General features: G+C 35.7%; 1 protein-coding gene across 15 annotated transcripts in view; it reads right to left on the reverse strand.

Annotated features, from left to right (window-relative positions):
• Positions 1-14,395, reverse strand: part of CEP152 (centrosomal protein 152) — an 81,987-nt gene that overhangs the window by 25,790 nt on the left and 41,802 nt on the right. For 14 of the 15 annotated variants that reach the window (XR_931769.4, XM_047432254.1, XM_047432253.1 and 11 more), the window contains 7 exons: positions 14,084-14,209; positions 13,347-13,456; positions 12,463-12,591; positions 12,188-12,320; positions 7,519-7,800; positions 5,263-5,394; positions 1,031-1,681 (listed from right to left, as the gene is read on the reverse strand). Coding sequence is in view for 14 of the 15 variants with exons in the window: in XM_047432254.1 (XP_047288210.1) it covers positions 1,031-1,681; positions 5,263-5,394; positions 7,519-7,800; positions 12,188-12,320; positions 12,463-12,591; positions 13,347-13,456; positions 14,084-14,209 (1,563 nt within the window). In the remaining variant the exon portion in view is untranslated. Of the gene's footprint in view, positions 1-1,030; positions 1,682-5,262; positions 5,395-7,518; positions 7,801-9,012; positions 9,524-12,187; positions 12,321-12,462; positions 12,592-13,346; positions 13,457-14,083; positions 14,210-14,395 lie in introns of those variants that run through there. The other variant, XM_017022016.3, reaches the window with a different exon arrangement.

Here is a 14,395-nt window from a genome sequence, read left to right on the forward strand (position 1 = left end):
GGTTATTTTTTCTAGTTTATAACTCTCCCAAGTAGGTATTAATACCAAATGCTCAATCCTGGCCTTGAAACTCCTTAATCACAATATTTTGATGGAACTTCACTCTTAAGTCTCAACTCTATTAGACAAACCTTATAATACTGGCTTTTTTTTTTTTCCTGCCTCTAATCCCAAATGTTGAAATTGGCTAATCACCATGCTCAGAATATCATTCTGGATCTTTCATGCATACCTAATTGCTTTGATCATAAGGTAGCAAGAATTTGGTTTTACTGAAACTTTCATACAAATTAAAAGCTGGTCTCAGAGAGTACTTATATAACTAAAAGAATATAATTAATTCTATATGCACATATATAGTACATCCAGAAACTGGGCTTCAGAGTTTTATGCGAGTGAGTCGTATTTATTTGCTTGTTTCTATATCAATACCTTTGTACTTGGTTGGCATTTTTTTGCCTAAATGAGACATAAATTTATTGAGGGCAATAAATAGGCTTCCAAACTCTTTACAAGCTTTTAAGAAACTCTTATTATGCATATTTCATGAAGTGGTCAGGCCCAGAAAACAGAATTTTGAAAAAAAAATTTTCAGTTTCTGAAATCTCAGGCCCTTAGAAAGAACAGCATATATTCTTTATTTTATTTTAAGTTCTGGGATACATGTGCTGAACGTGAAGGTTTACTACATAGGTATACATGTGCCATGGTGGTTTGCTGCACCTATCAACCTGTCATCTAGGTTTTAGGCCCCGCATGCATTAGGTATTTGTCCTAAATATTCTTTAGGAAAAAGATATTTAGAGGCTAAAATCTTGTCTTGTATTTGTGACACTATGAAGTAGTAAAGTTTTTTGGCAACGAAACATGCAAACCTTTGGATTTCGCTACAGAAACTTTTTTAAACCACTGACAAAAACATAAGACTTACATCTACTAAAATTTAAAAGGAAAAAAGGAAAAAACACTATATACAACTTCTATAATCATTCTTGGTGTTCAATACCTTCTCTCACTCTCAGGAACATACCTTTTTCCATTCTGGGTCAGCGTTTTCTACAAGCAGAGGAAGTGTATCTTGAAATGCTTTCTGTATGCAGCCCTTTAGTTTTTCAAAATATTGCACAGACATCCATTTTGAAGAACAAGTCGACATGATTTCCAAAAGCTGCTTGTCCTCAGAATCACTGATGTGCTCCTTTTGGGTATCACTTAAAAGAACCCCAAGTACAGTCAGGATGTCTTCCTCATACTGATAGATTTCCAGTTGGATCCGCTTGGCTTCCTGCATAGTCCATTCTCTACGACTCTGGTCTAGACAAGTTTGTAATTCTGTCTCCTTCTGAAGAAGTAGTTCAGTTTTTTGTTTCATAAAGTCTTCTTTAGCTGCCGCAAGCACCTCATTAATTTTATTTCGGTGATCATCTAAAAATTGCCGGTAATCTTGCTCATTTTGTTCTTGGATTCTGTGGATTTCTTCTTGCTTTTCTTTGTTCCATTCACTCCGAGCCTTAGCTAACTCAGCCCTGATGACCACAGGGACTTCTTCGTTCTTTAACTCAAGTTCCTTCTGAAGAGAATGAATCTTCTCTTCCAATTCCTTTCCAGGAAGTATATTTTTCCTCATATTTTCAAGCTCACTCTTCCATTTCTCTTTAGCTTCAGAAACAGCAAATGATATCTAAAGAACATAACAACATGCATTTTGAAAGTCTTTATGATTCTCCTCCTTCGCAAAAAAATTAAGGTAACTATTTTGGTTAACCTCTGAAGCTAGGAAATGTAAAATCAAAATTAAAAGGAAACATGATTTTAGATAAGACATTATTCTAAAAACTATACTTACACTAAAATTGGTCAAAATATATACATAAATATGTTTATATGTATGTATAGACACATAAACACTCACACATATAATTATATAATTAGCCAAAACTAATGTGAGAAAAAATTTCATATTACTTTTCTTAATACAGATACAATCTCAAATTTTATCTGTGCCCCCAACAAATTAAGTATCTTTTACCTAAAGCAAAAGCGGACTCATAAGGATTTTTTACTATTACTTAGGAATATAGCACACACCTGCATAATTACTTGCTGATAAGTGTAACTGTATTTTAATGCACTTTTAGTGGCTAGAACAGTTCATTAAAGGACAATACCAAACAGAAAAAGTCATTTTTCATTAGTCTAATTTGTTTGTATGACAGAATAATAGAACTAGTGGATCACAGAAAAAAACAGGTAGTACATAACTAAAAAGTAATAGCGAAATCAAAAAACCTAAGCTCCAATCCTGACACCAATTTGCAGAGGAAGCCTAGCACAGATGCTTAACAGAACAGAATCTGGAGACAAACTGCTGGAATTAACTTACCAGCTGAAGAACTAAAGGCCCATTCCTCAACTTCTTTGAGCCTCAATTTCCTCATCTATAAAATGGGGATAATTACAATGCCAATTTGATAGCATCCTTTAGGATTAAATGACATAAGGACATAATCCATTTAAAGTACTTAGCCCAGAGCCTGGCAGATGATAAGGACTCAATAAATCTTATGTAGTTATTACTTTTGGATGCATGGCCTTGCAAAAGTCACTTAATCTCTTTGGCACTAACATCTTCACCTATATAAAGGAGTAGAGTAGATAATGGCCTTGAGTCCCTTTCACTTTTAATATTCCTGACTGAATTCCTAACTGAATTCAAAGAAGGCACAAGGACGCACTAGTGTCAAAAGACAGAACTGGGCATCTCCAAAGGCTTGGCCTAGACAATGGTGGTTACCATTGATCAATACTATATATATGGCTGGGATGATGGGATAGAGTACCTACTAAATAAATTTTCTGCTAAAGGAACCCACTATCTAAGGTGAGCTTTACAAAAGAATTCACTGCAAAATTCCTTTGCTACCAGCAGAATAATTCAGTAGTGATTTGAAACATGTTTAAATAGTGTTTTTAGAGAAAACAGGTCATGTTGCAATGGATGCCTGGAAGTCATTCCCAGGTGACTCGGATAGAGGTGATGGATTCCACAGAATTTTTATAACCTGCCCAACCTTACCAAAATGTGCATTTTCTCATGTGAAGTTTTACAAAGAGAATTTGACAGCATTCATCAACTCAGTGCTTCCCAAACTTTGCTGCACATTAGAATCACCTGAGCAGCTTTTAAAAATCCTGATGCCCAGGCCAGGGCCCATACAAAACAAAGTTTAAGGGTAGGGGCCAGGCAACAGTATTTTTTAAAGATCCTCAAGTTATTCCAATGTGCAGCAAAGTTTGAGAACCACTGAACCAACTTAACTACTTCTGAATTCTAGAAACTGTCTTCACACTGTCACAGATCTCAACTAATCACTCTAATCTTAAAATAACTCTATAGCCAATGCTATGGAACCGGCCCTTTCTGGACCTCTTTTGGTTTGGAGGAAGGATGCACAACATGTTGACATTATTTTTTGTGGCTGATATAATTATCTGGAATAGTGCTACTTACATCCAAGTGTAGTCCAAAGACCAGCTGGGAGCCTGTTAGAAATGCAAATTCCAGCCAGGTGCGGTGACTCCCACCTGTAATCCCAGCACTTTGGGAGGCCGAGGTGGGCAAGATCATCTGAGATCAGGAGTTCAAGACCAGCCTGGCCAATATGGTGAAACCTCATCTCTACTAAAAATACAAAAATTAGCCAGGCGAGGTAGCGGGCACCTATAATCCCAGCTACTTGGGAGGCAGAGGCAGGAGAATCGCTTGAACCCAGGAGGTAGAGGTTGCAGTGAGCTGAGATTGTGCCACTGCACTCCAGCCTGGGAAACACAGCAAGACTCCATCTCAAAAAAAAAAAAAAAAAAAGGCAAATTCCCAGGACACCCTCCAGACCTACTATATCATTATCTCTAGGAGGAAAGCCCAGATAGCTATGCTTTAACAAACCCTGCAAGTGATTCTCAGGCCTGCTGAAGTTTGAGAAGCAACAAAAACACTTTTCTCTCATTTCTATATGTCTGCTTTCACAAACATACAGCCTTCTATGTTCTTATGAAAAGATCTCTTGGCCTGTTTTATTTTCTACATTGTACTCAACTTTACTATTCTACTTGACTTCTGAGCTCTGAGACACATATCCTCACAATCATATTGTTTCTTCTCTCTCTCCCTCTTAAATTTCCTTTTAAAATATTTCAGACATACTAAAAAATATAGATTATAATTTATCATGTGTTATCCATTTTTCTTATTTTTATTATTCCCTTTACTTTTTACTACAAAAACAAAACATATTTCAACCTATTACTTTATCTTTGCTATTGGATATGTTGCCTCAAAACTGAGTTGTTATTATGGTACAGATCTGAAATCTTCAATTTTCTTTTAATTTTTCTACACTTTTATTTAAAAATGTTTAACTCCTTCATTAACCTAGAATTTATTGTGATACACGTTGGGTAAACTTAATTTTTCCAAAGTGTTACCTGGCTATCATAAGACTATTATGAAATAATTCCTCATTCCCTTGTTTTAAAACAATTTATTAAGCTTTTATTTATAGTAGGGCCTACCTCTGAAACCTGTATTGCACTGAATTAAAATGAATTCTATTTTTGTGACTCAATACAGTCTGAGTTGTTGCTTTCCAATATATTCCATTATGTGTTAGGGCTTGACTATAATTTTTCCAGAACATTAAAAAACATCTAGTCCTTTTATTTTTCCAAAAACATTTTATAGAATTATTTTGTCAACTTCAAATACATTCAGTTTGTTGGCATTTTGATTAGAATTGGTTTAAACCAGTAATTAAGTTGGAAGAGTACACATGGTTATAATATCTGTATTTTCCAGTCAAGAAACATGACATTTCTGGAAAGGAGAACTGGCTATTTACCAAGAAGAATGTTACAAGACTACTAACACAACAGAGAAAACAATCTTTAAGCATGTGAAAGGATACTGTATAGCTAATAATAAACAAATATATACCTGTTCTCAATTTCATCTAAAGATAGGGCAAGATAGAATGGGAGTTATTAAATAGTTTCTAAGTTATCCTCATAGGAAAATACATTCTTTCTCTAAGAACAACTTGATGATGACAAGAACACTTGCTAGGCTTTGAGCTATTGCTTAACATGTATCAACATGTTTATCCTTCAACAATTCTATGAGTAGGTACAAATTCCAAGGACTGAGATAAGAGAAGGGGTCAGGTAAGACAGCCTCCTGAAGTGTCTTTGCAGAAGAGCTCTTACCCTTTTGTTCACAGAGACCTCATGCTGTTCTTCCCACTTTTTCTGTTCTGCCTTCACAAGTGCTTGATACTCTGCCAGCTCTGGTAGTTCTCCCAGCCATCGCTGATGAGCATTTTGCACAGCTATTTCTACCTGTAGGACATTGCAAAAGAAAGAGGTAAAGGGAAGTATAAAACTTAAAAAAGATCCCATTTTTAAACAGCAATTATGATTTCAGTATTTTATACTGTATATCACTACATAATAAAGTCAAACTGACTGCAAGTACCCTACCTATCCCAAACAGTGGATTCTAATCCTTTTGTTGTAAACTTCCCATAGCATCCCATACAAATGCAACAGAGGAAGTGGGAATCTGTGAATGTTTGATGACCAGTACTATCTTAGAAAGTGTCATACGAGGTACCAATTACCATTTCTAACAACTCCTATTTATCCTGGGAAAGAGAAGGCCTCCTGGAGGACTGCTTGGTGCCAACTGCTGTCTAATCACTACACCCACCACCTTCCTGACTCCTCATGCTCTACACATGTGCATGAACACATACACTGATCTAGTTTAGAGCCCTACACCTGCGAACTTTCCTACTGTCGAGAATGAGTTTATACTAAAGAATGAGGGTGATACCTCTGAAGGGAAAAAATTAAGACTTGATTAATTATGAGGGTCATCTGGTTGTAAATCTGCCACTAGTTACCAGAAGATTATGTTAAATAATTTTACCTTATTCCTTTATTTTAAAATACACACAGATATGCAGATATATGTATATATACGTACATACAACACAAAAGCAGGGTTGATATAAGAGGCTGTATTTCTCGTTAAAGTGCTAAATATGTCAATGTGTAAACTCTGTCTACGTACAAACTCCAAGGAGTTAAGAAATGGGGAAAAGATAAAGCTCCTGTAGAAATTTATCTACTTAAAAAGTTATTATGAAATATTTCCTTTCTGCTGTATTATGCTATTTAAGATTAATAATTTCATAAATACCAAAGCAGCACCTTTAAACTCAACTTTTTGTCTGTGGAACGTTTTCTTAACTCTTTTGAAACCCCCTTCAGTAAACATTTCGGTAAACTAACTGAAGATATCCTTGGCACCATTACATATATTTGCCTGTATTTCCAGACTTTAAAGGTGCCCTGTAAAATCACGTAGAACAATGTAACAAATAAGCAGAATTTCAAGTATTTATCAAAAGTAGAGTGTATTTTCAAAAACTTTACATTGAGTGCTATCTTGTTTAAGAGTTTATAATAAGTAATAAAATTAAAATAACTACATAACGGATGTATCAAAGTCCAAGGAACTCTTGAGGCTAGAAACCCTGTCAGGTAGTCTGTGAGGTCAAAACTTTTTCCAAAATAATATTAAGACACTATCTGTTTTATTGCTGTTCTCTCATGCATAAACAGCACAGTTCTCCAAAAGCTGCATGCTGTGATCATGTCATTGTTCTGACAGTCAGTGGAATGTGTGCTTGGGTATTTTTGTTTTTTAAAAATTTCTCAGATTTTCCAATAGTGTAAATATAAACCACACAAACAGAAGCTCTTTAGAGTCCCCAATTTTTAAAATTGTAAAGGAGTCCTGGGACCAAAATTTTGAGAATCACTGTAATAGGTAAGAAAGATATAACAGATAACTCATCTTTATTCTGTCACAATAGGCTGTACTTTTCTCAGTATGACATTTCTTTCAAATCAAGTAACTGTGTCAGTTAAAAGCTAGTTTTGTGAGTGCCTCAAAGGAAAGGTATTGGCACCACTTTTGGAAAGCTGATGGGAATGATAGATAAAGTTCCATTTAAGGGCACGCCTGCAGATCCAACCACATCAAGTCTCCACACAATGTTGTTAAATACCTTATGTGCTTAGGTTTACTTATCTATAACCACCTTAGTGGAATATTTTCTAAAAAATTAGATATGAAAGATTAATAATTAAACTGTGATTCATTCAGATGTAAAAAGCACCCTCTTTAACCTTGGGCATCTTAATGCTTAGACTAATCTCAAAGGAGCAAATATTTTGTAAACCGAAAGAATATACAGAAAAACCGAGGGGTGGCAGCTTTATGACAGAAATATTATGAAGAAAAATTTAGGAACATGACAGGTTTTCTATCCTAGAAATGCACAAAATCTTAAAAGTATAAAGTTATGAACGAGTTCAATGATAGCATTGTATGGGTTTTCATTAAGAGACAGGCAGTTCCAATAAATTTACTAGAATAAATCTGCCTTTTACCTGTTTGGTAATATTTTCACAATGTTTGAGTTCCAATTCAATTTCGAGTTTCTTCATAGCCCCCTTGATGGCTATGTCCTTCTCTTGTTCTAAGTTTTGCTGGATTGTGCACTTCTGCTCTTCTATCATAATTGCCATCTCTTTCTTGGAAATAACATCACTGGTGGTTACTTGGTCAGTTTGGCTGCCACAATCTAAGGTCTTCTTTTTCATTGCCTTTATAGTTTGATCCAGCTTAGACTGCCACTCCTTTTCAAGCTGTTGAATGAGTTTTTCTTTGATCTGTTTTCAGAAGAAAAATCATACGAGAAGAACAATTTTCAAATAAGTAAAAACTAGAATTAAAAGCTAGCCAGAAAAGCAACCACAGCTGTGTTTGAAAACCATCTAGATATTGTTGTAGTAATTATAAAAGGTTTAGAAATTTAGTCAATTAAAATACACTCTCAAGTAAAACTTGAAAGTTACTCTTTGAACTTAACTATATGACAAAAATCACATGAAAGATTTAAGTATGTTGTGTAAAGTCAGGATATCTTGCTCTTAATATCCAACCTTCTGGAATCTTTCCTATTGCCACTACAAAGATGGCAGGATTTAAAAAAAAAAAAATTACAGTTAATGTGTTTTGCCATCAACACCATGCTCTCCACAAAGGACCGAGTAAATCTAATTAACGAACCAAAACCTGAACAATCTAAAAAATAGTTTTACTCACTTGAACACATTAGAATCTTATTTGTTATAGTGTTAAATTTTACTAAGTAGACTACATTCAAAAGGGAGGCAGTATTATTGGAAGAACATCTTAATGATTTTTCCACTTTAACAGTACAGTGAGGTGGAGCTAAACACAGTCTTAGGCAAAACTATGAAACTGCACAATTTGGTTTTCCCTTTTTCTGTTCACCACCTGGGTATCTGAAGTTCTCCTACTGTTTCCCTGGCTACCAGATCAATAGCAATTAATAGCCATTTTGTAGATAAAAGAATCTAGTTGAGGCCAGGTGCAGTGGCTCATGCCTGTAATCCCAGCACTTTGGGAGGCTGAGGCAGGCGGATCACCTGAGGTCAGGAGTTCAAGACCAGCCTGGCCAACATGGCGAAACCCCATCTCTACTAAAAATATAAAAATTAGCTGGGTGTGGTGGCGCTTGCCTGTAATCCCAGCTACTCAGGAGGCTGAGGCAGGAGAATCACTTGAACTCGGGAGGTGGAGGTTGCAGTGAGCCGAGATCACACCACTGCACTCCAGCCTGGAGACAGAGCGAGGCTCCGTCTCAAAAAAGGAAAAAAAAAATTTAGTTTAAATAAGCTTGAGAATTCTTTTTTGTTTTCATTTCTAAATAAGCTTTTAGGATCATACTTTGTTCCCTAACTTGCTAGGGAACTATTAGCATTTCCTAATCTCATTTGCTATTTAAGTAATAGAGGTAACAAATTATGGGCTTCTGAGACTGCCCATTACTTCTTTGTTTCTAATCCATGATATGGCTTATTTGTTAGTTATAAATATTAGTCTAGAGTTATAATCATTCCACAATATGAAATCAGATCATGGTTTCATTTTGAGGAATCAAAGAAGTGCCCAAAAAACTTGTTATATCCTGAGTTGGGTCGAAAAGTCAAGAGGTGGCTAAATTCCTAAAAATAAAACTGGTGTGGTAACTGCTAATAGCTCAATTCCAAAAGGTAAAATGGATGATTATGTAAGTGCCTGGCAAATAAAAATTACGTATCTGGTTCAAGAAGAATTGTCTTCTAAAGTTAGTACCACATTTTAAAAATGTGGTGACCAGAAAGAAATTTTAATCCACACCTCTTGCTCTTCCTTATCCCAATGTGCTTTGGCTAAGATCACTTCACTTTCAACTTGCTGTTTAATATCAGTTTCTTGATCTTTCAGCCACTTGCTCTTTTCCATCATAAGTGTATCTTGGTACTTTTTTTCAAGTTCCACCTGCAGTTTGCTTACATATTCTTCTCTTTCCTCCAATAGCTGTCTCTTTAAACAAAATTCAAATAAACATCTCTCTACAACACTAACAGTCTCCAAGTTAAAACATGAACTTGTTGTGCGTGTCTTGGATAGCAAAAAAAATCCCTCTAACTTCTAAAATGCACCTACCTAACTCATATTACAATTGTATAAATAAGCCTTAATGTGCATAGAAATGGCATCAGGAATGGGAATGTTGACCATCTTTGCCTTGTCTGCAAATTCATAGGCTTCACTGATTACTACCCAACCTGAAGGATTCCGTGTATATGATTTTTTCCCCCTTTCTCTCAATGAGCCAGGTTAACATGTGAGGAAAGTTCTGTGTGCTACTAAAAGCTTTAAAACTTGGAATTGAGCTCCTATTTAACCTGCAACCTGACTCAGCAAGTGTTTCAGAAAACAATGCATGAAACATAAAAAAACACCCTTTAACTCTTATTGTTACCTGACTCATATATTCTGTATCCAGGTTAAATTCCCTACCTAAAGCTAAGCTGCAGTAAAATGGCTTATGTCCTGCATGGAAGAGCTACCCCAGAAGTGCCCTCACTTGTTCTAGAGTTTAGTAACATTCTCCCATGTATGTGAAACATTTCCTTTAAAAAAAAAAAAAAGGTGTATTTTTGCCTACCTCTGAAAAATGTGAGAAGATTAGACAGTCTCCTAAATATAAAGATGTTTCAGTTCTGACTGGCTTATACTACTAAGGGCTTATATAATTCTATAGTAAAAAACTAATGAATTCCCAGAGAGGGAAGAAATTAAACTTCTAATGCTTTAAGTACACTGGCCCTTTAAGTGAGGGGTGGGTTTGGAGGAGGAGTGTAACCACAAAAAGATAGCAAAAGGGAGCGTTTTAGGGTGATAAAACTGTTCTGTATCCTGACAAAACTATAAACGTGTTAAAGGTTTATAGAACTATACGCCCAGTGGTGGGAGGAAGTCAATTTTACTGTATAACAATTAAAATTTTTTTTTAATTATACTTTAAGTTTTGGGATACACGTGAAAAATTTAACCTCTAAGTTTGGTTTTTTTTTGAAGGATCAAATAGCAGTTTAACTTTTCTTCTTGGACTTGTGTACAAACACTCATGAGCCAAAATATCAGTCAATAGCAGATACTAATTGTAACTGACCCATTATATGAGATCATATTTTATAGTCAAATTGATTCTATTAAAAGTATCAGAAAATATTCCTGGAATGACCTCTTTGAGAAAATTCCTCTTATGTTCTTGCCAATTTTTTTTTTTTTTTTTTTTTTTTTTTTTTTTTGAGAGACGGAGTTTCGCTCTGTCGCCCAGGCTGGAGTGCAGTGGCGCAATCTCGACTCACTGCAAGCTCCGCCTCCCGGGTTCACGCCATTCTCCTGCCTCAGCCTCCCGTGTAGCTGGGACTACAGGCGCGCACAACCATGCCCGGCTAATTTTTGTATTTTTAGTAGAGACGGGGTTTCACCGTGTTAGCCAGGATGGTCTCGATCTCCTGACCTCGTGATCCGCCCGTCTCGGCCTCCCAAAGTGCTGGGATTACAGGCGTGAGCCACTGTGCCCGGCCGCCAATTTTTATACATATAAAAGAATCACACTAGTGATTTCCCTATTTTAATTTTTAAAACATTACTGAAAGCTAAGTCCTCAATTTCAAGGTAATATAAGATCCTTTCTCACTTTTATACTGCCATCCCTACCTAAAACAGCTCCCTTTAGAAGTTCTTTTTCCACTAGATGATATGTATACATGGCACATTTTTCACCATATTAATCTATTCAACAATAATCAAGATATTGAATGAACTGAATTCCTCGCCTGCTCTTTACTATTCTTTTTAAGTGTGTGGTAGTAATAGCTTGCTTTAACATAACTTATTCAAAAACCTCTGTATAGAACATTTATTTAAGCATTTAAAAATATTTTCTAATCTTGAGGCAGATAGCTTTCAAACTGTGGTTTGCCGCTGGTCCAAAGTGTGAAGGACAGTCAGGCCTGTTAAGGCACTGGGCCAGGACAGGGAAGAAAAGAGGAGGTGTGACTGTTTACATGTGATTTTACTCCTGGACACTCACCAAGAGTGACTCAGAAGAATCAGGCAGAGTTGGAGAATCTACTCTAGCCCCTCCAGCTTCCCTGAAGGAGGTCATACGAAGATGCTGACCTTGCTGTCCATATCCTCCATATCATCACTTTCCCTATCACGAGACCAACATTCAAATTCCTACTCTTCTCCCCAGAAGAATAAAATGACAATGAGGTAGTGAGAAAGAAATGGATCCGAGAAAAAGGGCTCTGAACGAATGCTCCGTGCAGCGCTCACAGGACTACATAGGGTTTCCTGAACAGTCAACACCGAAAATGAGGATCTGTGATTTTCAGATTTAAAGTGACACTGATCCTTTTTTTTTTTTTGCCCTTTAGAATAAATCTGCAAGAAAAAAAAAATCACTTTCTCCTATCTATATGCCATTGTACATTAAGGTTTTAATAATCATTTCAGTAATTACTGTATTTTATTTGTGAGCTATATGAGTGTGATACAGCCAAAAGTAAAGAGAACATATGAATACCTTCTCCATTCACTTCTCTAGAACAAATGTATTCGTTTAAATGATAATACTGAGGCTTGAAGAGTGAAAGGATGTCGATACAACATAAACTTGTACTGTACCTTCTCCTGAGTCTGTTGCTCCTTTTCAGTGGTCTTCCTGAGAGTCAATTCTAGATTATCCTTCTCTCTGCACACTTCTAGGTAACATTCCTGCACAGCAGTCACCTCCTTATTCAACTTATCCAACTCAGACCTTGGATACACAAAACCAGCAACTAAATGATTTAACCACAAAAAAATACAAGAGCTGCATAACAAACAATTTTCCTCTAAATTATGGAATAGGGGAATGTAGTCTCTACAGCTTAAAAGGCAGCTAAACTCTTTATTCTCACCTCAGTTGCAAATGAGTTCTCTCATAAGCCTCAAAGAGCTGCTGCTTCTCCAAAGCATGCTTTGCTAATAGGCTTTCACGTATTTGAGTTTTCATGGCTTCATGGTGCTGCTGATAAGTCCTTTCACACCTGGAAACAGAGCGGAATCAAAGGCAATGCCCAGTCTCACTACGAACACCAAAATGAATTGGTTTCCTTCCTTCCTCCTCACCTCTTCCCTCTAATGCAAATTATAATTGAGGTCAGATAACTTTTCCCCAACTGAAAGTGGTAATAATTAATTAATAACCAACAATCTTATGAGAATCTTCAAAATTTTCTTTCTTCAAATGTTTCTAGAGAACAATTAGAAACTTGGATGTGAGACTGCCCCAGTCCTTCAAATAGAGATAGTAATCTATGTTGAGGACTTCTGTTTATAAAAAATTAATGGCAATAATTGAGGGTGTGGCTCCAAAATTTCAAGTCATCTATATTAAACACAAATACTAGCAGTCCCCAACTCACAAGTAAGTTATGTTCCAGAAGTCTGTTTCCAAGTTTATGATTTGGTATTTGGAAGACATATTCCCTCTCACAGACTTTTTTCTTTATAAAGAATAGTTTCCCAGACGAGTCTTTAAAAAAATATTAACCTATAATATTTCAGTGAACTACAGTTTCAATGATACTATAGAACCCAACCCACTACATAACACTGTTTCTATGGAAAATGTGTTCCAAATTCTAATTTGAGAAGCCAGGGACTCATCTCTGCCAATCCAAGATCTCAACAGGGTAGAAATCACTCAATCATTTTGAATCTTTTTGTCACAGGGAAGGGCAGGGACTTAGAGGGGAAGGGTACCCAGGAGACAGTCGTCAGGCATCTATATAGACCTTACCTATCCACAGCTTCTTGTTTGTCATGGTCAAAATCTTGTACCATTTGTCTCATTTGATTACATAAGTCTTGATTTGTATTTCTCAGTTTTCCTTCAGTTTCTTTAAGTTCCTAGACACAAAAGAATAAACTTAGTACTTACAGAAAATAAACATCATTTTCACTGATTGATTTTGTCTTATTTTTTAATATTTTCTATGCTTTCTCTCTCCCCTATAACAATATTTGACATATTATTTTTACAATTCTGCAAAAGAAAAAGTCTCTTCACGCTTTGATAAGAACATAGATTCATTTATTTGACAAGTAGTTTTCTGACAGGACTAAACGTTTAAATTTTGTATTTACTTTGAAATATATAAAATGAAAATATTTAACCAGAGAAGTATTGGCTAGCTGATGCCTTAAAATAAGTCTCAGAATTCAATAATCTTCAGCAACCATCTAAATAAGCAAAGTTTTACTTCTGGGTCAAGAGCTGGCTAAGGAGGAAAGAATACCTCTGTCAGCCATGCTACCATAGAGAAAGAGAACTGGAACTACACTAACTTACCTTCCAATGAAACTACTAACCAACAGTTCACTAGCAAAGGGAAGTAACTGGAACTCATAATCACCTGCTAATATACTTGTCTACTAACTCACATTGCCTCTTTATTTGCAAAAACTCTATTATATCCTTTGTATTTAATGAGGAAATAAAAATTCTCATAAAATATAAAAAATATTTTTAATCACCTGATTTTGTTGTTGTAAAACTTGAATTTCATTTTTAAGCAGCAGAATATCATCTCTGACAACATCAGAAGTAGAAGACTCAGGCCATAATTGATTCTTTGGTTTTTCTGAGGTATCTGTTTTAGTCTGAATATTAAAAGGTCAAAAGTTTTACAAGTTTTAAAAAATTCTAAGTTTCACTTTGAAATACTTCCATACTTTAAAAAAATTGCAAACAGTACAAATAATCTCCATATAGCTTTTACTCATCTTCCCCCAATATAACTACAGCACAATCATCAAAACTAGTAAATTAACACAGATGCAATACTA

The sequence above is a fragment of the Homo sapiens genome, chromosome 15 (genome assembly GCF_000001405.40).
Source record: "Homo sapiens chromosome 15, GRCh38.p14 Primary Assembly".
Lineage (NCBI taxonomy): Eukaryota > Metazoa > Chordata > Mammalia > Primates > Hominidae > Homo > Homo sapiens.